Below are 25,321 nucleotides of genomic sequence, written 5' to 3' on the forward strand. Positions count from 1 at the left end.
CTTCCTTCTCAAGATGGGTTTTGCTGTTCTAGGTCCTGTGTGTTTCCACATAAATTTTATGGAAAAATAAGCTTGTCTATATCCACAAAAATACTTGCTAAAATTTTGACAGTAACTACATTAAACCTGTAGAATTTTGGAAAAATTGACATCCTTATATGTTGAGTACTGTACATGTTTTTTTAAGTTTATAATGAAGTATTTCATTGTTTTTGAAATGACTGTAAATGATATTATATTTTTAATTTGTTTTCACACCTTCTTTTTTAATGTATAGAAATGGATTGATTTTTGTGTGTTGATCTTACATACTGCAACTTGCTACACTCACTTATTAGTTCTTTTGCAGATTCCTTGGGATTTTCTACAGAGACTGTCATGTCATCTGCAAATACAGACAGTTAATTTCTTTCATTCCAATCTGCATGTCTTTTATTTCTTTTTCTTGACATATTGTAGTTGGTAGAGCTTGCAGTAGTCTACTGCATAAGAGAGGTGAGAATGGACACTTTTCCTTGTACCAAATCGTAGAAGGAAAATATTCAGTCTTTTACCATTAAGTATGTTAGCTATAGGTTTTTACAGATGCTCTTTATGAAGTTAAGAAAATTCTCCTTTGCTCCAAGTTTGCTGAGAGTTTTTATCATGACTAGGTGTTGGATTTTGTCAAATGCTTTTCCTGCGTCAACTGATAGAATCACATGACTTTTCCTCTGTAGCCTGTTGGTAGGTGTATTACATTGGTTGGTCTTGTAATTCTGAACCAACCCTGCATACCTGGGATAAATCCCAACTGCTCATGGTGTATAATTCCTTTTAAATGTTGCTGAATTTGATTTGCTGATATTTTGTCAACAATCCTTGTGCTGAAGTTCATGAGAAATGTTGGTCTGTACTTTTATTATCACATGTTGTCTTTGTCTGGTTTTGGTATCGGGCCTAGCCTAATAAAAGTGTTCTTTCCTCTTCTATTTTTTAAGACGGATTTTGTAAAATAGGTGTTAATTCTTCATAAATGTGTGGTAGAATTCTCCAACGAAGCCATCTGGGCCTGAAGATTTCTTTTAAATTTCACATTCAGTGTGTTTAATTGTTATAAGACTATTCAAGTTGCATGTTTCATATTGGTTGAGTTTTGGCCATTTGTGGTTTTTGAGGAATTGGTTCATTTCTTCCACACTGTTGAATTTATGAGGGTAAAACTGTAGCGTTCCTTTGTTGTCTTTAAAATGGCTGAAAGATCTGTAATATCTCTGTTTTATTCCTGATATTGGTGATTTGAGTCTTCTCTTGTTTTATCTTTGTGAATCTTGCCAGAGGTTTATTTTTTGAAGAACTAGATTTTTGTTTCCTTGTTTTTCTCTATTGTTTTCCTGTTGTCAGTTTCATCGACTGCTGCTCTTTATTATTTCCTTTGCTCTGCCTTGCTCTGGGTTTATTTTGCTTTTCTTTCTCGTGTTTCTTGGGTTAGTAATTTCGATGACTGATCTGAGACTTTTCCTCTTTTCTAATGTAAGCTTTCAGTGCTGTACATTTCTGTTTCAGGCTTTTTCAGGGTTTTTTCATTTGAAAGTGGAAGGTTTGCATCGGCACGCGGAATAGAGAAGACAGGCGTGCTTGAGAATGGGCTCTGCCGCCTCTCAGCCTGCTCCCTGGGTTGGTTATTTCAACTCCCAGGGGTTCCTAATCCAGAACCCGGCTGCCGTGCACAAGGCTATGGGTTTCTGGGAAGACTAAGGCCCCTGCTCAGAGCCGACCCTCAGCAAACAGCCTTTCCTCTCGCTCCTTTCTTTCCTGCTCCAGCAGTTTGATTCTGTGATTAACTTTAAAATAACATTTATTTTACACGATTACAAAATAAATATATTTTCATGGAAGAAAATTTGGAAAACACAAAAAGCTATCGAGAAAATAATCTATCTGCAAACCTTGCCACTCCACCCCGCCTGGACCTCTGCTCACTTTGGCAAGCACCCTCCTGACTTCTTTGACGTGAATTTGTTTTTCCATAAGTTATTGGGGTACGGGTGGTATTTTGTTACATGAGTAAGTTCTTTAGTGGTGATTAGTGAAATTTTGGTGCACCCATCACCAGAGCAGTATACATTGCACCGTATTTGCAATCTTTTATCCCTCGTCCCCTCCCACTCTTCCTCTCAAGTCCCCAAAGTCCATTGTATCCTTCTTATGCCTTTGCATTCTCATAGCTTAGCTCTCACATATCAGTGAGAACATACGATGTTTGGTTTTCCATTCCTGAGTTACTTCACTTAGAATAATAGTCTCCAATCTCATTCAGGTCACTGCAAATGCTGTTAATTCATTCCTTTGTATGGCTGAGTAGTATTCCATCATATATATATAATCATATATATGGAATACTACTCAGTAGTGTGCATATATATATATATATATAGTATTCCATATAGTAGTATTCTATATATATATGTATATATATATATATATATATATATATATATATACACATATATATATATGGAATACTACTCAATCATACAAAGGAATGAATTAACAGCATTTGCAGTGACCTGGATGAGATTGGAGACTATTATTCTAAGTGAAGTAACTCAGGAATGGAAAACCAAACATCGTATGTTCTCACTGATGTGTGGGAGCTAAGCTATGAGAATGCAAAGGCATAAGAATGATACAAATATATATATATTTCATATATATTTATTTATATGTATCTATATATGAAATATATTTATATATAGATATATAAATATCTATATACAAATAAATATTTATGTATATATAAATAAATATATTTATATATGTATATATAAATAAATATATTTATATATTTATTTATATATCTCTATATAAATATATATGAAATATGTATAAATATTTATATATACATGAAATATATATAAATATTTATATATAAATATACAGTTATATATTATATATCTATATATAAAATATATAGATATATGTAATATATATTTTATATATAGATATATAATATATGTATCAGAGTTTCCTTATGCACTCATTGATTGATGGGCATTTGGGTTGGTTCCACGATTTTGATATTGTGAACTGTGCTGCTATAAACGTGTGTGAAAGTATCTTTTTTGAATAATGACTTATTTTCCTCTGGTAGATACCCAATAGTGGGATTGCTGGATCAAATGGTAGCTCTACTTTTAGTTCTTTAAGAAATTTCCACAGTGTTTTCCATAGTGGCTGTACTAATTTACATTCCCACCAGCAGTGTAGGAGCATTCCCTCATCACCACATCCACGCCAACATCTACTGTTTTTTGATTTTTTGGTTATGGCCATTCTTGCAGGAGTAAGGTGGTGTCACATTGTGGTTTTGGTTTGCATTTCCCTGATCACTAGTGATGTTGAGCATTTTTTCGTATGTTTGTTGGCCATTTGTGTATCTTCTTTTGAGAACTGTCTATTCATGTCCTTAGCCCACTTTTTGATGGCATTGTTTGTTTATTTCTTACTGATTTGTTTGAGTTCGCTGTAGATTCTGGATATTAGTCCTCTGTCAGATGTATAGATTGTGAAGGTTTTCTCCTACTCTGTGCATTGTCTGTTTCTCTGCTGACTGTTCCTTTTGCCATGCAAAAGCTCTTTAGGTTAATTAAGTCCCAGCTATTTATCTTTGTTTTTATTGCATTTGCTTTTGGGTTCTTTGTCATGAAATCCTTGCCTAAGCCAGTGTCCAGAAGGGTTTTTCCAATATTATCTTCTAGAATTTTCATAGTTTCAGGTCTTAGGTTTAAGTCCTAAATTTTTGTTTTTATGAAGTGCATGTGTATTTGAAGTGTTCAAACACTTAACAGTATCTCACTTCACTTAGCAGTATCTCAATCATATCTTTGGGTTATCAAATATTTTTCTAAAATATGATTTTAACATATGTGGATATGTCATAATTCCACAGCTGATATATATTTAAGCTTTAATTTTTGTCATTATGAGTTGAATTGTGTGAACAAATTCATACATCTTTGGGCATGTCTCTGATTTTTTTCCTTAAGACAGATTCTTAGGAGGGGAATTTTTGTGTCAAAGACTATGATCATTTTTAAGATTACTGTCTAGAAAATGTGTCCCCAAATCTACTCCACCTGGAAGTATGGCCAACCTTCCTCTATGTGGAGTATTCAATTATTTTTTAAATATTGTATTTGCCTTTATTGTGAATGAAATATTATATTTTATTGTTTTAACTTGCATTCCATGCTAGTAAAGCAAGTGTAACTCTCAATGTCCAATCACAGATGTAAAGAACAATCTTGTTTCTCTCTTTCTGGACAATTCCAAGCCCCTATCCCTTCCTTGGACCTTTTCTGTGGTCTTTTTTCTGGGATCTTTTATGGAGACTTTCTAGGCTCAGTGACCACTGGCCCTGGCTACTGCTGAGACCCTGTGGCTCTGGTCTGCAGACCAGAAACTATAAAAATGGGCCCTTCAGGTTTGCAGTCTTTGATGTTCCCATTCCCTCCTTGGCCATAAGGCCCTCCCACCCCTAACTGCAGCACCCACCGCCTGGAGTCACAGGTGCAGCCCCAGCCCCTGGCAGCCCTCCCGGGCTCTGCAAGGCCCCAGCCCCATCTGAATCTCAGATGTTCTCCCTGGCCACCCCAGGACACCAGTATCCTCCATTCAGGGCACTGGGCTTTTAAGGGAGGGCCTGCCTCTGGGCTCTTCTCACTTCCAGAGAGGGCAAAACGAAAACAACATACATTCAGCAACTCAGAAATCACCTTGCTGCACAGCCAGTCTCCTGGGTTCACAGGTTTTTCCTCCTGTGTGTCTCCCTGTTCTCCTGCTCTTTCGTGATTGATAAGAGCTCTTTGTACAGGAAGGACAGTGGTCCTCCAGTTGTAGTGTGTGTGGCAGCGGTTCCCCGAGGGAGGCGTTATTTGCTCTTGAACTTTGCCTGCGAGCTGTGCCTGTGCATTGCTTTGCTTTTTAATTTTAAAGCGAGTTGAAGCCTCCTGTGTTTGTTTGCTTTCACTGTGCTTTCCTGATTGGAAAGTCTTTTCCACCCCCCCATTCAGCATCTTATGGTTTCTTTGCTAACACTGGAACTCAATTGCTCTGGAAGGCACTTGGGGGTTAGGGGTGGGGGATCCCATTTTCTCACTAGGTAGGGTGTGCCCCCGGCACCCCTAGGAAAGTCCCTCCAGCCCTCTGCATTTGCTGGATTGCACAGGAGGCCCAGGGTCTCCTGAGGGGGAGGAGATGAGGAGGATGCGGAGAGGTACCAAGGGGTCCCCCACCTTGCACCCTGCGAAGTCCCCCTTTCTCCCTGTGGAAGGGAAGATAAGCCTCACCTAGGCGCTGACCATGGGTGACCCCTTACTCTGCAGGTGGGTGAGACCCTTGGAGAGGCCTCCTGCTAGTGCTCAGCAGGGTTCCCAGACAAAAGGAATTGTCACCCTTTGGGTGGTGGCTCCATGGCACTGCAGGACCCTGGAGAGCCCCTCGGCTCCGGCCCAGGGGCAGAGAGCTCCATCCAGCCTCTGTTTCCCACCTGGGCCTTCACCTCAACTGTGCTCGAGGCAGGCAGGGTGGGGGTTGGGTGGGAAGGAGGCAGAGAGAGACTCTGGAGCTGGGTGCCTGTGAAGAGGGAGGCCATCCTTCTGAAGATGTCATCGGGGTCTGAAGGCACATTGGAAGGTGCACTCAGTCACCGAAATTAGACGAGGGACAATTGCGCAGACAAGGAGCCTTCACCCCTGTTAGTCGGGGACACAGCTCGGCCCACGCCCCACCTCCACATCTCCTCCCCATCCTGCTGTGGCAGAGCCTGCCCTCCAGCCCTCTGCAGCCCCGACCCCAGTCCGGCCCTCAGCTCCCAGCCCCGCAGCTGCAGAGGCTTCCTGGGGAGGGGCAGCTCCTGGTCCACCCCATAGCAGAGGTCAGGCAGCTATCTTGCGTCTGGCATCTGCATAGGACTAAGAGATCCATCAAGTCCAATTAGGGGAACAGCTCCTTCCTGCTCTGCTTAGCTGACTAATTCAATAGCAGCCACCCAGGCCTGGGCCGGCAGAGGCTCTCCCAAATCCAATGAAGGCCTTGCTCTGCAGCCCGGCTGCCAGCATCACCCAGGCATTTTGCTCACTCAGCACAGACCCAAGTCAGGCCCCAGCCATACCCACCACCAGGAGCTCCCAGAGCCGTGCTGCTGGCACCAGGCCTCCCCCAGCAAGCTCCCTTCCTCAGGGCTTCTGCCCTAGAGGGAAGGAAACTTGTGGCCATTGAGGGGTAGGGGAAGTGCCACAGCCCGTCCAGGCCTGTCATCCCAAAGGAAGGCCCACAGCTGCTTTCCAGGTCTTGTAGAAGCTCGTTCCTTCCCCGGGGTGCTCTTGCTCTGAACAATGCCCCAGGGCAGGTGGAGGGGCAGATGGAAATCAGCCACGGGGCTTTTGCAGGCAAGAGTGCAGGAGGGACTCTGCATGCCTGGGCTCAGGCCTCAGCAGAGCCTGTTGAGGGAAGGGATGGAAAAGAGTAGCTATATGGCCTCCCTCATGGGGTCCCAGCCCACAGCTGTGTCCCAAACATCCTGTGTGTCCCTCAACACCCAGCCTGGATGGGTTCCTTAACTGAGCTCAAGTCTTAGACCCGTAGAGGCCTGGCACCTCCAGGTTCACTCAAAGGGATTACAGAGACCAAGCCCAAACCTACCCATCCAATGCTGGGATGTGAGGCCCTGCCAAGGGGCTTAAGTCCAGCTGCGACAGGAGGCTCAGAGACATGAGCCAATTATGACTTATTAAGGACAAGGCGTTGTAATTTTTTTTAACTGCTTGATACACGTGATCAAGGCTTACTTCAGCCTCTATCTCCTGGGCTCAAGTGATCCTCCCACATCAGTCTCCCCAGTAGCTGGGACCACAGGCGTGCACCACCACGCCTGGCTAATTTTTTTATTTTTTGTAGAGACAGGGTCTCACTATGTTGCTGAAGCTAGTCTCGAACTCCTGGCCTCAAACAATCCTTCTGTCTCAGCCTCACAAGGTGCTGGGATTATAGACATGAGACACCAGGCCTGGCCAATACCCATTTTATAGATCATTTGAGTGAGGGTGTTTTCCCTGTAACTCACTCAGTCCCACTGAATTTCCGAGGCACATTCTGGAAAGAAGGCATGGCATCACTGGTAGGGGTCTGCCCCAGTGCACTAGGACACCACTGGGCCACGGTCTCTCTGCTCTTAGCTCACTCACTCCATCACTCTCGAAATGATGTAATATGTACAGACATCTCAGGATAAATAGGTCCATACCTTTGGCACCTTCTGTTAAAGCAGTAAGTTGTGTTGTTTATTTATTTTTGCTTTGCCTGCGAGTTGTTTTATTGCTGTTGTTGATTAGGTTTTTATTAAAAGTAATACCTGCACACCATACATCTCGAACAGTATTAAATTATATGAAATGTGCACAATGAAATGTAAAAGCCTACTCCCAATATTTCCTCTCTCCCAGATAACTGCTCTTGACCGTTTCTTGTGCATACTCTCAGAAAAACACTTATGCAAATTCAGCATGTGCGCAAACAGCGTGATGCTGCCCATGCTTCTGAGGCATGCTGTGTCTGTGACGCCTTTTTTTAGGTGTAATGGAATGGATGCCCACGTGTGGATGTGTGTGTGGGCCATGGCTGACCAGTGCCCTGCTGTTGGCCCCTGCAGACAACGCTCCAGGAAATTTTACTTGTTCAAATTTTACTTGGAAAATTCTGCAAGTGTGTTCTTAGGATAAATTTCTGGTAGTACAACCCAAAACAATGAGCTAAAAACAACCTGGGCCAAAACATCTGTGCAAGGAAATTTTTAAACGGATCTTGTCAAATTGTTTTCAAAAAGATTTCCACATCTTTCAACAGGGTATGATGTTATCACCACTTTCCAATGAAAAAAGAATGTCATTCTATTTTGTGTTTATTTAGTTATGAGTGAAGTCAAGTACTCTTTTTTACATTTTTGTCCATTTCTCCATTAGGGTACCTTTTCTTATTGGTGCCTGAGAGCACTTAGTCCGTTTAGGAAATAGGGCCCTTAGCTGTCATATGTGCTGCAAATATTTCCCCCCAATTTATTTGTTTGTTTATTTTATCATACCAAAGTCTTACAGTGTGTAAACAAACGTATTGATCATTTTAAAATTCATTTGGTTTGGGTTGCTCAGAAAGGTCTTTATTTTTTTAAAAAATCATGTTTACTTCCAGTAATTTTATGGCTTAATACTTTAGTCTGGAATTGATTTGGCATCAAATAACTTTATCAAAAGTAGCCTTATTTTTTCCTTGTGGGGGGTCTCGAGTCACGTCATTATTTATCGAATGGTCCCTCATTGTTCCCATTAGTCTAAGGCCACCCCATTGCCTGTGAAATTTCCATTGTGACATCTATATTTGGACTCTGCCTTGTAAATTTCTTATGCAATATCAAACCGTCTTAACTGTGGTTGTATAACACAGTCCATTTCACTATCGCTGTGCCAGCCTTTTAACGTCCTCCTGTAGCAGTTCTGAGTTGTCTTCATGTAGATTCCACACACTTGTTAAGATTACTTCTATATATTTTTATTTTATGTATTGCTTTTGTGAATGTAATCTTTTATTCCATTACCTCTTTATTTAGTCATGGTTTATGCATGGGAAAGCCCTCGATCTTTGCATGTTATTTTTGTTAGTAGCAACTCTGCAGAATGCTCTTATTTTCAGCCAAGTCTTTGGGTTTCATTGGCCAGCCCTGTACCTGTGTGTGACTCCATCTTCCCTTCCTCTCTTCTCCTGTGTCCCTGTCTCCAAGACATCAGCAGCTCACGATCAGACTCCTGCCATGCTCCCTGGCTGTGGGGGCTGCAGCCTTTGGGCTGATGTCCGCTTGTACGCACCTCCCTCTTCTCTGTCTCATCAGGGTTAATGGCTACTGAACTGCCAAACACCTTTGCAACGTTTGTTAAACTTTACGTTTTTTATTCTTCAGGGGTTAATTTTAGTCATTTACATAGCTCTAGAAAATCATCATTTTTACCTAAGTATCCAAATTTTCTGTCCAGCAGTTTGCAAAGCAGGCCCTGATGCATCTTTTCCATTTCTTTGCCTCTGTGGTTCTTTCTCCTTACTCATTTCTGCTTTTCTCTCACTCCCCACTGCCACTCCGCTTTTCTTACTCCATGGTAGGAGTGCCCATCTCTTTGTTGGAAGGCAACAGTCACTCTCCTGTCTGGCTCTGTCCCCCAGGAGGGCTGCTGGGGGTCTGTGCCTGTCTGGTGTTGTCAGACTCCAGCGCGGTGCCATTCAGGCTTGGGAGCCCAGTGGTTTCTCTGCTGATGAAGGGGCCCGTGGCCGTGGTGGGTGCTGGCTCATTCTTCATCCCCAGGAGCAGGGATGCTAGAATGGCCTCAGTTTGGGGAAGGAGCTGGGGGTACTCCTGGCAGGGGATGTGCTGAGGAACATCTTACCGTCCACTTGGATCCTGGGGGACAAGAGTTGGGTGGCAGTTGGAGACCCCTGGGCCCATGAGGGTGGGGATGACCAGCATACTCTGGCAGGCAGTGTGTGGGTCCTCTGAAGCAGCTCCCCCAAAAACCTAGTGGCATATGCCCCTGTTACAGCCCTGAGGATAAGGTGGGGAGGCTGGCTGGGGACATGGAAGTTGGTGCTGACTAACGAGAGGCCAGTCCCTGGCCCTGTGGCCTGAACTCTAGGTGTCTGTGGGGTTCTGTTGGCACAGACACACCACACGTCTATGTTCATGGAGACTTTGTCACTGGCAAAGGCAGGGGCTTCTCAGCAGGGAGGGGGTAGAGCCAGGCAGGGCAGCAGTGGGAGGGCTAAGGTCCCCCTGGGTCCCTGGGGAAGGGGCTGGAGGCAGCAGCAGGGAGACTGGGCTGTTCAGAGGGACCTGGAAAGATATTGGGTCCAGCAGAGCGACTTTGGAGTCCACAAGTGATGTGGAGTTGGGGAGGCCCTCACCCCACCCCAGGCCTGGACCCCTGAGCTGTCCAAAGCAGCTCCTGGTAGGCTGCGGCTGAAATGGAGGGCCTGAGGTGAGAGAGAGGAGCAGAGGGGCTCAAGCTTGGGGCCAGTCCACTGGGGCTCCACGAATGACCTGGGAGAGGCTCAGAGCTCGTGAAGGGGCCAGGGTGTCAGGATTGTTCACCCAGAGGCACCCCTGTTCTCATCCAGGTTACAGAAGAGCCTCAGGTCCAGTGGGAGAGGGGAGAATGCCCTGCACACAGTGCCAGCCCCTCCTTGCTGAGCTCTGCATGCCTGGGTGAGGGGCTGATGCTGCACCCCCGCTGGGGCTGCCTGCCAGGGCTCTGGACCCTCCCACAGGAGGCCAGGCCTGTGCCCAGTGGCAGGGGAGGGTGTCCTCTCCAGCCAGGGCTCCAGCCTCCCTCCAGGCTGCTCTAGCTGGCCCCAGGCAATTTGAAAAGCCCCCTGGGATTTCCTGACAGTACAGGCCCAGAGCTGAACTGAGCACAGCCCTCAGCCACCAAATGGGCCATCAGTCACCCAACCCTGAGAGCCCACCCCCTCCAGCCTCCCCTGCAGGCAGCATCACCCTGGGAGCCCTGCACTCCAGAGCCACTTCCTCCCTGAGGCCCTGCACCTCTGACAGCCACCACACCATGCCTGAGCCGACTCAGCCTGGATGAGGTGCAGTCTTCTCCAGGCCTCCCAGGCCCCACGCTGCAGCCACACAACCTACCGCTCCATCACAGTTACCCTAGGAGGGGGTTGGAAACACCAGGGCTGGCATGTGACAGACTGGCTAGCCCCTAGGTCCTTTTGAGGTCCAGAGAAGAGACTACAGGGTCAGGAGCAGGAGAGACTCACGCCTAGGGTGAGGGGGTGCTCTGCATCATTTTCCTGGTGCAGAAACAGGTTGGAGCATTGCTGAGGACCCTGAGCAGGATTTGAGCCAGGGTGCACCCGCAGGGCAGGACGGAAGATGCCACATGGCTCACCCACCCCTGGGGCCACATGCAGAGTTACTGTCAAGCCACGTCAGCACCCGCAGGGCCCAGTGTGAGCACAGCAGCGACTCCAAGTGGGTGGGAGCTGGCAAGCCACCTGCTGGCCAGGGATGCCTGTTCGCCTGTTAGAGGTAGCGATTCTCGTTCAGAGTGGACCACAGCCTGATGACCCCTGCTTTCAAGAAGGACCATCCCATCTTAAACAACAGCTCCATGAATACAACCCTCCCTGGGAGTGCAGTGAGGCCATTTTTACCAGGCTGCCTGTAAGGATGGGGTGGAGGATTGGATCTATGGATTAACATTCCCTTTGGGGACGCATCGCGGGCAGATGAGAAATTCCCGACAGCTTGATGGTCAGGGTCTCCATTACCCATATATCAAGGAGAGGAAGACGGATTCCCCACGCCGACTGCCTGCCCAGCCTCCCTGCCGACAGCCACCGCTGAAGGGCGGTTGATGGAGGTTGTGACTGTCCCTGTGACCACCCTCCTGAGGCCCTAAAGCACAGGAGAACTCCAGGCAGAAACAGATGCGGGGTAATGTAGCCCCCCTCAGCCCCAGCTCCTCTGGGAGGGGCTGTTTTGTAAATCACTGCCAGCCCCGCTCCTCCTGGCAGGTAAGATTGAGGCAGCAGGGATGTGCCCCGAGAAACAGAGCTGGTGGAGAGGTTTGAGGGGGCATGTGGGTGACTGCCTGTCCCCACCAAGGGGCAGGGGCTGCCTTTCTATCTGGGTCGGCAGACAGCCAGGCTGCCCCCAGGGAAGGCAGGGGTGGCGCCTGGGGTGGATGCTGGCATTGGAATGCCCAGGTAAAACCCTGACTCCATCCATGTTATTTATCCTCTCTGAGTCTTCACTCTGTCGTCCATGAGACAGGGGTGATTGTATGTGAGGAGGAAACCCATGTGCCTGAGAACAGCGTGGTGAGGAGCTTGCACATGTGGCACAGAGACGGTGCGCTTGTGATTAGGTGGCCTGAGGGAAGGAGTACTGTGGCTGTGGGTGTTGGGCTCTGCTCCTCAGAAGACCCCAGAGGGCAGGTGGCTGAGCAGATCTCCAGAGCTGGAGTGCCCAAGTGGATTCTGGGGTCAGGAAAGGAAGTGATATGATTGGGGGCCACAGTGGGACACTTGAGCCATGTGTCCAAAGAGCCTCTGCACTCACAGAGCCCTTTATCTTGTGGGGCAGAACACTCCCCCACCATGAGGACTCTTCTGCACATTTCAGAGGGCAGGACTGCAAAACCCAGGTTCCACCTCCCTCTCCCATTTTCTGGTACAGCATATGGTAGGTGCTCATTCATGCTGAGTGAATAGAGAGCTGGGCAAATGCTCACTGGCACTGAGCTTCACTGAACTTCTCACATGCTACTGTGTATTGAATCTTGTACATCTTGCAGAGCTTCGTGGTTGACCAAGCACTTGTCATCCTTCACTCTCCTTGCTTGTCCCGTATAGCTGAGGAATGCTGGGCACAGGCAGGCAGGATTGCTGTCGCCGTTGTACAGAGCACAGGCTGCCCAACTGCAAGGGCCGTAGAGAGCATCCAGGTGCCATGAGCACCAGAGGGGAGTACCTGGCCTCATGGTCAGAGACCAGGTCTAGTAGAGGAAGGGAGACAGGGATGCTCTCATTCTCAGAGCAGAATCCTTTCTTCACTTAACCTATTTTGTTAGCATTAAAAAAAGAGAAATAGGCTTGGGCCTTATTTATGCTCCTGGTTTTTTTAAATTGTTTTATTAATATCTACTCTTTAGTACTTCTTTACCTGCTTTTTGCTTTTCAATTTAAATACACTTAAGTCTTTCTTGTTGTTTAATTAATGTATACATTGAAAGGTGATATGTTTTCCTGTAAATACTGCTTTAGCTACATTCCACAGGTTTTGCTGTAATTTCCTATCCTACAATGCTGAATGATTTGAAATTTCCATCTTGATTTCAGTCATTTAGGAGGATATTTGTAAATTTCCAAGCATATTTTTATATACGTATTTCTTAATTGCTTATTTTCAATTTATTACACAGTCAGAGAGTGTGTACTATATGATATCATTTTTTAAAATTTCGTGGGACTTCCTTTCCTTTTACTTCCTGATTTTCCTAATTTTTTAATCTCATTGAACCATCCATTACTTTTTTTTTTTTTTTTTTTTTTTCTGAGATGGCATTTCGCTCTGGTCGCCCAGGCTGGAGTGCAATGGGTGCGATCTTGGCTCACTGCAACCTCTGTCTCCTGGGTTCAAGCAATTCTCCTGCCTCAGCCTCCCGAGTAGCTGGGATTACAGGCGTGTGCCACCACTCCCAGCTAATTTTGTATTTTTAGTAGAGACGGGGTTTCACCATGTGGTCAGGCTGGTCTCGACTTCAAGTGATCAACCTGCCTCAGCCTCCCAAAGTGCTGGGATTACAGGCGTGAGCTACTACGCCCAGCCCTGAGCTATCCATTTCTGATAAGAAAATGTTTTAAAGCTTACACTGAGGTGGCAAATTTGTCAGTTTCTCTTTGCAGCAAGATTATGTTATTAAGTGCGCACAAGTTCATGGTTAGTGAGTCCTACTGGTAAATGCATTGTAGTGTCCCTCTTCATCCTCATGAGTGCTTCCTGCCTTCATTCTGTGTCCGTTGTTAGTAATCCCATGTCAGCTTTTCTAATGTTTTGGTCTCGTATTTTCTGGGTATGTCTTTTATCCCTTTGCCTTTTGCTATAATTTGGTTTAGGTGCTTCTGTAATGTCAATTTCATTCATGAGGAATCAAATTCTGCTCTGTTACAGGGACCCTAGCTGATCCCCAACCCTTAGGAACAGAGAGCCTAGAAGTATCTATGCTCATGTCCATGTAATATACACACGTGCCCACACACACCTCACACAGTTCTTACACTCACACATATACACACTCACATATACACTTACACGCTCACACATGTACACATGACATACATTCATACTCACACATACACACCCACAAACACATATATACTCACACATATACACTTATACCACAACCCACAAAAACACATATACACATGACATGCACTCACACACATACATATTTATGCACACAACATACATTCATACACTTGCACACTCATGTACACATACACACTTATACACTCATGCATATACACATACAATATACACACATATGAACACATATACGCATGACATACATCACACACATGCACACTTATACATACAACATACATTCACACATATACACTCACAAATACACACTTATACACACAACACACTCAACTACATATACACTCACATCCATGTATTCACACATACTCAAAGCAATTTTAATTTGTAGGAAATCTCAGTTTAAAAATAGCTGCAGTTCCTACCTGGGCATCAGGTAACCTGGAAGAGAGGAAGGAGAGGACTGTAATTAGCGAAATTCATGATTCGAAAAGAAGCCTTGGCAAGGACTGGATTCGAGTCCTTTTGTGACCCTGGCTGGGCGAGACTCATCTCTTGGGAGCCTTTGTTTTCCTCCCTAAATGGGGATCACCTGAGGGCACCTCCTGCTGTGAAGCTACCAGACACCCTGAGGGGAAGGGATCCCTGGGCTCCTGTCAGGAGGATGTGAACTGCCTGGGTGGGGGCAGCATTCCCCCTACTTCTCCCCTCCTGGGTAAGAGGCTGGGTCTCTGGGGCAAGTGGAGTCCTGGCTTATCAGTCAGCCACACCATGAACACCCAGTTCTGCCTCCAGGTGTCAAATAGGCAATTTAATTAAACAGAAATTCAGCAGCCAGCAACATGACGTCATAGTTCCTGGAAACAGAACTGTAGCCACAATTCTAGTAGCTCATTCTGTCCTTCAAGAGTTTAAAATTTTTTAATGCCGGAGCTCCATTTGATCACCTTCACGCGGCCCTGGTGGGTCAGGCCCACCTGCTCGCTGGCAGCCCCTCCTTGCCTCTCTGTGGTCCCACCAGTAATTAAGCCTTTTAAGAGCTGGGGGAGCTTCAATATCGGTAATTCAATCTCCCCCTGTTTACTGATCTCTGCCATTAGCCGAGTTGAAAGCAAAATGTTTTAATTAAAAAGATTGGCAATAAGTTGGTGTAATGCCATAATTTGCACAGGGCCCCTTCTAGAGGATGACTTCGCCCTGCCTCAGTTGCTATGACAACTAATGGACAAGATTGTTCCAGTGTGAGAAGCAGCATGAGGAGGGGACAGGAGTGGGAAGAGGGGCCTCTGCAGGAGGACAGAGCTGTGAGGTGGAAAGACCAGGCCTCTCCGTGAGCTCCAGGGAGGTCTTGCCTCTTTGTTGCCATCCCTGTGGCTGGAAGAGTCGTGTCTCTAAGTGCCTGGGCCAAGGTTGTCATGGCCAGTGCCATCTGGGCTCAATGGTCCAGTACAGAGCAGAGGGCGAGACTCAGCAGCCATTCACCCTGGAGTGTACTGGGGCCCCGCCTCTGAACAGGGCAGCTGTGCGGCGGGCCAAGGCAGACCCCGGGTAAATGTCAAATAAATGCCCCTCACCTCCCCTCCCACACAGGGGCCAGGTAAAGGGACGTCCGCATGTCACCTGCCTTTGTGTGCTGACTGTCTGTTGGGACACCCAGGGGCCAAGGTGATGTCCTGGAGAGGAGCTGGCTCGGGAGGCACTCAGGCTGCAGTCTCCTTCCAGGACTCCCAGGCTAGACAGAGCAGAAGATGGCAACTGCTCTGGGTGCCCCACAGCTGATATTCACTCACTTCTCTGACCATGGGGCCAGATCCTCCTGAAGAGGTAAGCCCTTTGTGGGAGCGGATAAGGCGAGGCCTTGTGGAAAGGGACCAGGACATTCCGAGTCTTGATTTCCTCATCTGTGAAACGGGAATGAAAGCATCCTTCTCTCAGAGTCACTCTGAGGACTGACAGAAACCGCATGGTGGGTCCAACATCCTCTGCGGCTATGCTAGTGGTGTGGGTGTGCCTTGAGGAGCCATGGGGGGCAGGGGCCCTCGCCAGTCAGCTGCTGTCTGCACCCAGGGCCACAGGGCAAGGGTGGGCTCTGAAAGAGCAGGACAAACAGCCAGAGGACTTGGCTCCCCGCTCCTGGAGGAGGGCAGGTCTGACCAGCCAGGAGCAGGTTGGGGTGTGGGGTGAAGCAGAAAACCAAACTCGAGTGAAATAGAAAACATGGAACAGTTGTGCGTCCTCACACTACAGCACTAGTACATCTTCACACTACAGCACTTGTGGGCTGCGGGGCCCTGCAACTGCCAGTGCTGGGGCCCGGTCTTCTGAGCCACAGCACCACGTGCAGCAGGGACGTGATGGCTCACCCCGCTCTCCCCTCCACCATGAGCGCACCCACCTTTCCTCACCCTGCCAGGGCAGGACACACCTTTGGGGGCGCCCCAGGACATCCAGGTTTTGACCCCACAATGCTCAGGAAGGATGACTTGTGAGTGGAGGCTGGGCCATTCTGGGGGGTATGCTGAGGCGTGAGCCCAAAGGTGACAAGTGACACATGAGAGCAAGTGGCACCAGGTGCCATTCACTCAGCTCTGCTTGGGAAGCCCCCCTGGGGTGGTAGACAGTGTCATGCTCTGGTATTCTGTGCTGTGACCAGGGCCACCTCATTCCCATACAGGCCCCCAGATCAGTATCTCCACCAACCATACTCACCATGGGTGCAGGAACATCAGCTCCTCTCCTCCTGAGAGTCACTGGGCAGCGTGGGGGCAGGCGAGCTGGAGGAGGCGCAGCTTCTGGAGCTGGGAGGCCGGGTGCTCCTGCCCGGGAGCCCAAGGGCCCGTCTGACCTCAGAGAGCCTCCTTATCAGCCGCGGGGAGGGCGATCTATCACGTGGCCCATGCTGGTGTGGAAGGACAATAAAGCAGATATTGACCGTGATTCTAATCGGGTGAGCTGGGCCTCTCAGCCCCACAGAACACAGCATGCCGACTTATGGGTTCAGACGCGAGAGGAGCCAAGCCTGAGCAGGAACGAGATAAGAACATGCCCTGGGTGATTCAATTTAATGCAACCGTCGCTCCCAGCAACCTTGATTTGCTAAGTGCTGGGGAGCCCAGAGACGAAGGAGACAGGGGGCCAGCATGTTCTGGTCTGACAGCAGGCACAGGGCCTCGCCCTGGTGGGGTCAGAAGGCTAAGGGGATGTATGTCCTTGAATCCACTGGGCAGGGAAGGGCAGGGGGGTATGTGCAGCTGCCTGGAGGAAACCCCAGGCCCCACTGAGCCATGGGGAGCAAGGCCCTGACCAGCACTTGCTGCAGATGGCCCCTGCCTGGAGCCTTCCCACCTGCTCCTCTGCAGATGCCTCCCCTCTCCCTCACCAGGAAAGTCAGGGTATCCCGACTCTGTCCCGTGCCAATTATGTGCTGTCATCCAGCCCCTGCATGGCCAGTGCCACCATGGGCCGGTGACCGCGACACCCTCCACCCACGAGCCAACCACACACTCTAAGCCTGCTTGAGGCCTGTGGCACCTGGTACCCTGGGGGCCAGAACTGTTCCAAGACCCAACCCTGATCTCCTCCCTGTTTAAACTGGCTTATTCCTGCTACTTGGGTCTAAAACCCTTTGAGAGCTGGGCATGGTGGCACATGCCTGTAATCCCAGCACTTTGGAAGACCGAAGTGGGCGGATCGCTTGAGCCCAGGAATTGGAGACTACTCTGGAGAACATGGCAAGATGTCATCTCTATCAAAAAAAAAAAAAAACTAAAAAATGAGCCAGGTATGGTGGCTCATGCCTGTAATCCCAGCTATTCAGGAGGCTGAGGTGGGAGGGTCACTCGAGCTCAGGAGTTTGAGGCCAGCCTAGGCAACAAAGTGAGACCTCATCTCCATAAAAACTAAAAAATTTAGACAGGCATAGTGGCGTGCACTGGTAGTCCTAGCTATTTGGGAGACTGGGGCAGGAAGATTGCATGAGCCCAGGAGGTCAAGGCTGCAGTGAGCCAAGGTCGTGCCACTTGACTCCAGCCTGGGCAACAGAGCAAGACCTTGTCTCTAAATAAATAAATAAATAAAACCCTTCGAGACCCCCACACCATCATTCCCTCATCCCCCACCTAACCCAAGGATGCCCTATTGCCCATCTTCAGAATGCAGGCAACCCTCACCTGCATTCCTTCCTCAACTGCATGCACCCCCACCTGACCCTTCCTCACCTGGACACATTCTCACCCAGCTCTCTCCCTGGCACCATCCCCTCAGCTGTCATCCTCCACAGCTCTCTGGAGACAACTTCCCCCGTGTCTCCTAGCCCTGCCCTGCCCCTTCCCGCAGCAGCAGAAGTTTCTGGAGTGTGCACTGGGTCCCGCTGCTTGCCAGCTTGGTCTTGCTGCCATCCACCATGGCAGCCAGGCCAAACCCACCCTCCTCCCTCCTCTAAACACCCCTGGCCGGCACCTGCTTACCCTACAGTCTCATCTCCTCTCTCACCTGTCACATGCTCCCCACATGCAGCTCTTGCCGCCTCACCAGGTTCCTTACATTCACCCTATCTCCGGGCCTCTGCACGCACTGTGCCTTCTGTTTAGAAGCATTTATCCTGCATTCCTTTTGGTCACCTTCCTTCCTCCATGCAGACCTTGTCCCTGGGGCCCTCCCTCTGGCCCAGCTGCAGCAACTCCTGCCTAGAGTTCCTCTCTGTAACGCACTTACCCTGAGTCAATTCTCGTGCTTGTGTACGTGCCCCTTGCCCCACACCAGCTGCTCCATTCGGTCTCATCCACCGTTACACATGCCACACCCACAGCAGGGCCTCTGAGGCACCCAGTGCCACAGCCACACCAGCTGGATGGCTCTCTGTGCCTCAGCCTGCTCATCTGTAAGATGGGGGATCATTGTGCCCACTCCCAGGGCTCAGTGAGGGATGCACCCAGGTCTTTAGGACATGCTGGGTGTGATGGTTCTTCACTCCCTTCGTGGAGAGCTGTGTAACCTGCTTGGGATGATGCCATCAGGAAGGGCAGATGGCACAGGGTCATAAGGCCACGGACACCCAGCTCTGCTTGGAGCAAAATCTCTCCAGGGCACTGAGACAGAGGCCCCCCAAATAGCCCGCCTGCCATCTTCCCTCACGCATGGTCCCTGTGCTCTGCCTGGCCCACGCCTTTTTTGGCTGGGGCTCAGGCTCTCTGTGGAGTGGGGGCTGGGGGAGCAACAGAAGAGGCCTTGTTGAGGGTCCCAAGGGTCCCCACTTACATGCCACACGGACCCCAGTGCAGACCCATCTCCCAAGAGCCAGGTCCCTGATTGGATTTAGCTCTGGCCTCCCAGCACCTCACGCCCATATCCCCTGGCCTGTCTCTTTAGAGGATAATCAGAGGAAGTAATTCTATTTGAGAAACAATCACTCCTGTGGTATGATGGTGCACTCGATGTTAATGGACCCAGCATCCTTGCATACTAAGGACGCATTTCAGCCAAGCACAGGGTGTTTTTCGAGAAAGGTCTTGTTCCCCATCAAGGCTCTGCCCTCACTGAGCTATTAGCAGCCAGGCTGAGGACATGAGCTTGAGGGGAGGTGCAGACTCAGAGGTGCTCTGTGCACTGGGCTCCTTTGGGCACTGGCAGACAGGGCAGAAGTTCTGCCTGGGGAACTCGGGCTCTGGCAGGTGTTCTGTACACCCACCTGGCATAACATCAGCCTGCCCTGGTGCCATTTCCATTATCAGTCCATCTTACAGGTGAAGACACTGAGAATAAGAGAAAAAAGGAGGATGTCCGTATCCACACAGCTGGTGAGGGGGAGCTGGAAACCCTCCAGAACATTGCTCCCGTGCTCCCCCACTTCTGCTCACCCTCTGCTGACTCAGTTTCCCACTTTCTGCCTGCTCGTGGTGCTGCACCCGCTGCCAACATAACTGTAAATGCAAAAATGATGATGCCACACCTTCCCACAAAATTCTTCACCATGTTTCCAAGGCCTACAGAAGACGCTGGAGCTCTGGGATGCCAGTGCATGGGCACGCGCCACCAAGACAAGCCCCCTCTACCTTGGACCCATCTCCTGGCCAATCATACCTGGCAGGCGGCCCTGGCCCAGCCATACTGCACCCCCTGCAGGGTCCTGTTCTGGCCTGGGGACTTCACACTTAGCCTTGGCAAGTGCCACCCCCATGAGGGAAAGGCTCCCCCCACCCCTCGTGTCCTATCTAGGTGACAGCCACTCGCCCATTCAGGAGGATTCTGCCTGAGCACCTCTTCCCCGTCAATGTCACTCCCCGAGCCTGGGCCTGCCACAGAACCTGCCACGTCCACGCAAGGTCCTGCTCCTGGGTCTGCTCCTCATCTGAGCGGAGGGGAGAGGCTTCTCCAACGCTGGAGAGAGTGCAGCCTCCGGCAGCCTGTGGGGCCACAGGGCCTGGCCTGCCCAGCTTTCTCCTTCATTCATTCAGCACATACCCATTGAGGTCCCACTGCCTGTCAGGCCCTGCTGTGGGCTGCCATAACAAGATAGGTTACACCGGCTTGAGCAAACAGTCATTTCTAACAGTTCTGGAGGCCGGCCTCTGGACTGGGTTCCAGCAGGGTCAGTGGTGGTGAGGCCTCTCTTCCTGGTTTGCGGCCGGCTGTCCTCTCATGACATCTTCCCATGGTGGAGTGAGATCATGCCCCTTGCATCCCTCCTTATAGGTGCACTAATCCCATTCATGGAGTCTCCACGCCCATGACCTAATTCCCTCCCACAGCCCTCACACCCACTGCCATCACGCTGGGGTTTGGGCTTTCACATATGAATGGGGGTCACAGATAATCAGCCTAGAGTGGGCACTGGGACACAGCAGTGACAAAAAGACAAAACCTATGTCCCCGAGGGCCCACATACCCACTGAGGACAGAACTTGCCGAGGTGATGCTGAGCCATGTGGACACCTGGGGGAGATCATGCCAGGCATGGGGGACGCCAGTATCGAGGCCCTGGCTAGGGGTCCCTGGTGGATCAGTGAGGTGCCCAAGAGAGCAGCACATGGCTGGAGCAGTGGCACAGTGGGTTCTGACTTACATCTCAGGAGAATCCTGTTGTCTCGGGCAGAGAACAGGAGGACAGGCTGCAGTGCTGGTGGACAGGAAAGTGCAGAATGGGCCACTGCAGAGATGCAGCAGGTGGGCAGGAGGTGAGGGGTCAGATTCTGGGACCACGGGAACTGCTGGTGCGTGGGGTGAAGGAAATGAGAGAAGCCAGCACCCAGGGAGACGCCAGGACCTGTGGCCTGAGAAACTGGGAGTGCAGGGCTATCATCAGCTGGAGTGGGGCGAGGGCAGGCCTATGGGGAAGGAAATGGGGACAAGTGCCTTTTGAATACCTACTGGATGTCCAGGTGGACTTGTTTGTAACTGGACATTGTGAGCCTGACCTGAGGTTCCTGCCCTGAGCCCCCATCCCCGGCCCCCTTGCAGGGTCAGTGAGGCACGAGCACAGGGGTCAGTCCTAGGGACCCAGGCCTGGCCCTCAGGGGTAACTGGTGCCCATGTTGCCCTCAAGGGCTGTCCCCTGGTCTTGGAGAACATTCCCTGAGAGCTGTCCCCTGGCCAAGGGGAAGTGAGGGACACACTAGTGCCTCTCATGATACCTTGGCTGGAGCAGGGGCTTGGAGGGGCAGCCTGGGGCCCTCAGGTTCCTGCTCCCCACCCCATGCATCTCAGCCCTTCACTCCCAGGGAAGCTGCTGCATGCCTTCCCTAGAATCTGTCCCACAGGGGGTGAACTCCCTGCCTGTCACCACTGTTGAAGGATGACTTTTCTTCTCTCCACAAGCCAGGGAATTAATTCATGCCATCTATTTTACTGAGTCGGATCAAAGGTTGTCAAATTCCTTCACCCACTTAATGATCTGTAATATACCCTTCCATTTCCTGACCAGGCTATTAGATAAAATAGAATTCATAATGGCCTCCTGGCAGCATCTGTGCACCTGTGTACATGTGCAGGGTCAGTCAAGAGACCCTAGGATCTGCTCAGCCAGGATGTATCTTTTTTTCCAAGAGATTCTGCAAATCTCAATCCATATGGGGCTTTTAGTGCCAAACATACTCTATGGTCTGTGTGAGGCTGAAAATATATGACTCACGAGTCACCACTGCCCTTGCCCTGTCCGTGGTAGACATTATTAATCAATTACAGGCACTCTTCACCACTGAGCTCAGATGTAGCTCCTTCCACAGCCATCACACATGATACATGTCCTGGCCGGGGCAAGGAAACCTCCTGACCATCCAGATGAGAGACATTAATTGATGCTGCTCACCACACTGTTGTTTCTCCTTTTTTTTATGTGTACGGTGGCCTCTGAGCAGGGGTAATATGAGGTGACCAGGATCCCCCCGCTGAGCCTCCTGCAGGCTGCTTCAGTGGGCACAGCCCATGATCCTACTCCACAGTCAGGAATGAGCACCCCAAACCTGCCAAGCTCCCACCTCACAGGAGGTCTATTGTGTCAGCCTCCTGAGCTCCTAGGCATGAAAGCACCTTGCTGGACAAAGGCAGGGATTGCTAGCAGGCAGCAGCACACAGGCGATCATGGGAAGACCCGGGGCCCTGCCCGATCCACCACACACCCACACACCAGTCATGCTCCATCCTGTCACAATATCAAAGAGGAAGCATCAAGGCTGACAGCCACAGCTGAAAAGAGCTGTGCACAACCGCCACCTTGGTCCCTGTGAGGGGTCTGGTCACTGGCCTGACGGTGACACCTTCTCGGGGTACAGAGTCCCAGACTCCCTGTTGTTCCTGTCTTGGGAGCAGTATTGGCGCTGGCCTCAGGCCACCTGGGCCTCTCCACTCCCTTCTCCCCTAGCAGGCCTCTTGCTCAGAGCTCCTACGAGGTCTCCTCTCCCAGCTCCTCTGAGCTGGGCTGCAGGCTGGGTGTGTAGAGAAGAGCAGAGGAGGCTGGGAGAGCTCCCTGAAGTCACGTTACTGTCTGCTCAGCTCAGAGAGAAGAGCTTCAGAGACAGGGAGGACTGAGTTCAAAGGGAAGCCCTGGGGCTGGAGGTGACCCTACCTGGCTGCCGCAGAGGACTAGCCACATGCCTGCCACATGCCAACCATCGTCCCCTGTCACTGCAGCCTCTGTCATGTCAGCCTTCAGCTCCCTGGAGCAGTGAGGCGGGCTGTCCTCGCCCCTGCCTCGACCTGAGCCTTTTAAGCAAATCAGCAATGTAATTATTGATCTGTAAAAGAAAAGGAATTAATATGGCCGCCCACATCCTTTGTACATAAGAGTATTTAACAATGAACTCTGCTTAAACTTCATAAAAGCCTCTTCAGCAAATCAGCACAGAAGTATCGATCTGGAAGCTGGCCTGTGAATTCCAGCTGACTGCCTCTCCCACTGAAGGACCATTACTTGGTCTTACCGAATCTCCTCTCTCCATTTATGGCTGGGCGCTTCCTCCTGGGACGCTTCTGCTGCCTCTCCACAGGGACTGAGCTGCCCAGTTTTGCTGATCCTCCCTTTTCCTGGAGTCCAGCGTATCGACTGGAGAGAGTACTGGGGAGGTGCTCTTGGTTGGGGCTCTGCAGCCACCCTGGGCCTAACACCCCAGGCTCAGGCCTGCCCTAGAGACCCTTGGTCACCCTGCTTTTCATGGAGCAGAAGCTGGGGTACTCGGTGTGCACCCTCTTGTTCACCCTCCCAAATGGGCATTCTTGCTTCACCTTGCAGGGTCACCCAGATGCTGGGGGCTGGGGCCAGCCTTCCAGCCAATGGCTGAGCGCTTTCCTTCTCAGATATGTGAGTTGGGGCTGGCATCACCCACAATGTAGCAAGCTGGACCCACTGCCACTGAGGCCGTGGGCTCTCCCTAATGGGATCTTGTCCAGGTACCCGAGGAGGCCAGTGAGTCAGCAGGCTCTGCCAGAGCACCCACCAGCCCTGGCATCCAGCAAGATGGCTTTGCCCTTGGAGCCTTCCCATCCACCCTGGGCCCAGCCTGCCAGTTACTCTGAGCCTGTGGCTGTGCATCTGGCCTGGGACCCTGTCCTGTCTGCTGGGTAGTGTCAGGGTCCCATGGGAGAGTCAGTCCTATCTTGAAGCAGGACTCTGAGCTCACTGCCAGCTGCTCAGGGTTCTCCTCGGCTGCCCAGCTCTAGGAGCAGAGGCCTGAACCCTGTGACCTCTGTGGGGCCACTTGCAGATGGGGCAGGGATGGGCTGGTGGATGAGATGGGGTGGCTCTGCAGATGGGGTGGGGGATGCCGACAACTGAGGCAGTGAGTGCAGTGGCAGGAGTTGGGGTCTCTGGGTTGGGCCTCGTCCAGGGCTAGCATCTAGGGGGTCCAGAACCCCCTTCCTCTCTGGCCACCATGGCTGCCTTTGTGAAATGAGCTCTGGCCTTGGCCTCTAAGGCCCCTACAGCCCTGACTTTATGCATAGCAGCAGAACAGGGTCAGAGAGTCCAAACCACAGACCCCACGTCACAGGCCAGCCCCTCAGAAATGCACAGTGCCTAACAGGAACAGAGCCTCCAACACACTGGGAAGTGGCTGTGGTGGCGTCCGCCCCCGCTGATCATGTCGTCTGCCCTGCACCCTCCCACGCCTCTGCACTGGATGCAAGCTCACTCCACATGCCTCTCTCTGCCGTGGCTCCTGCCTTGTACCTCCTCCTCTCTGTCTCATTCTTCTTGTCTTTGCCTCCTTCTCTGTCAGTTTCTTTGTTTCTATTTTCTTCTCTGCTGGCCCCTGTTTTCCCTTTCTCTTTGTCTCTTTCTGATCTTTCTCTGTTAATCCTGACGTTCTGGTTGTCTTTCTGGCCACCCCCACGACCACTCATGTCCAGCATTCCCTGGATCAGGGTGGGTGAGGCTCATGCCCAGGTCTCAAGAGGAGGTCCGGGTGCTGGGCCCTGCCTGGCAACTTGGAGAAGGCTCCCCTTGAGAACACTCACTCCTCCAGGGGGATGGAGGCTGTGGGGGCAAGCTCTTCTCAGAGCAGGTGCACAGCAGTCCCTCCTGGCCCTGCAGGTCTTGCTGGTTGCCCTACCATGAGCCACATCTTGGGGCCGGCAGTGGGGAGGAGGAGACCTCTGTGCTGGCCATGATTTGAGGGACACCAGAGGACTCCAAGGGTGCCCCACCTCACAGCATCCCTTCCCCACCTTCCTCCAACCTGCTCCTGGCTGCCAATGGCCAGGACAGGTCAGGTCAGGTGAGGGGTGATGGGGACCACCAGAGGGCTGCAGGCTGCCACCCCCTCCATCCAGCTGCCGACCAGCTGGGAGAGGTGCTGTCCTCACACTCACACAAAGCCTTGGTGAGAGAACAGAGAGGGATGCTTGCATGTGGCATTGCACCCCTGGGAAGAGGAGCACCCCAGGAACTTGGGGTCCATGCGGTCCATGCCTCGGGGC

General features: G+C 50.5%; 1 long non-coding RNA gene across 1 annotated transcript, besides 5 other annotated features; it reads right to left on the reverse strand.

Moving 5' to 3' along the window:
• Positions 5,347–6,053: an enhancer, noted in NCBI's record as "H3K4me1 hESC enhancer chr10:43465538-43466244 (GRCh37/hg19 assembly coordinates)". NCBI's record gives its function as "activates a minimal SCP1, AML or CMV promoter by ChIP-STARR-seq in naive H9 embryonic stem cells {active_cell/tissue: H9 hESC(naive)}" and the evidence as "EXISTENCE:reporter gene assay evidence [ECO:0000049][PMID:30033119]".
• Positions 9,212–10,182: an enhancer, noted in NCBI's record as "H3K4me1 hESC enhancer chr10:43469403-43470373 (GRCh37/hg19 assembly coordinates)". NCBI's record gives its function as "activates a minimal SCP1, AML or CMV promoter by ChIP-STARR-seq in naive H9 embryonic stem cells {active_cell/tissue: H9 hESC(naive)}" and the evidence as "EXISTENCE:reporter gene assay evidence [ECO:0000049][PMID:30033119]".
• Positions 10,878–11,172: an enhancer, noted in NCBI's record as "tiled region #9590; HepG2 Activating non-DNase unmatched - State 13:Ctcf, and K562 Activating non-DNase unmatched - State 12:CtcfO". NCBI's record gives its function as "activates a minimal TATA promoter and a strong SV40 promoter by Sharpr-MPRA in HepG2 and K562 cells {active_cell/tissue: HepG2 | K562}" and the evidence as "EXISTENCE:reporter gene assay evidence [ECO:0000049][PMID:27701403]".
• On the reverse strand, positions 14,274–16,764 carry LINC01264 (long intergenic non-protein coding RNA 1264). The gene is made up of 3 exons (NR_126352.1): positions 16,625–16,764; positions 15,540–15,816; positions 14,274–14,356 (listed from the first exon to the last, which is right to left on the reverse strand). It is a non-coding gene; the product is annotated as a long intergenic non-protein coding RNA 1264 (long non-coding RNA).
• Positions 15,894–17,494: an enhancer, noted in NCBI's record as "VISTA enhancer hs2497". NCBI's record gives its function as "enhancer in: midbrain (mesencephalon)[3/4]" and the evidence as "EXISTENCE:transgenic organism evidence [ECO:0001131][PMID:17130149]".
• Positions 22,922–23,567: an enhancer, noted in NCBI's record as "H3K4me1 hESC enhancer chr10:43483113-43483758 (GRCh37/hg19 assembly coordinates)". NCBI's record gives its function as "activates a minimal SCP1, AML or CMV promoter by ChIP-STARR-seq in naive H9 embryonic stem cells {active_cell/tissue: H9 hESC(naive)}" and the evidence as "EXISTENCE:reporter gene assay evidence [ECO:0000049][PMID:30033119]".

This window comes from Homo sapiens, chromosome 10 (genome assembly GCF_000001405.40).
Source record: "Homo sapiens chromosome 10, GRCh38.p14 Primary Assembly".
Classification (NCBI taxonomy): domain Eukaryota; kingdom Metazoa; phylum Chordata; class Mammalia; order Primates; family Hominidae; genus Homo; species Homo sapiens.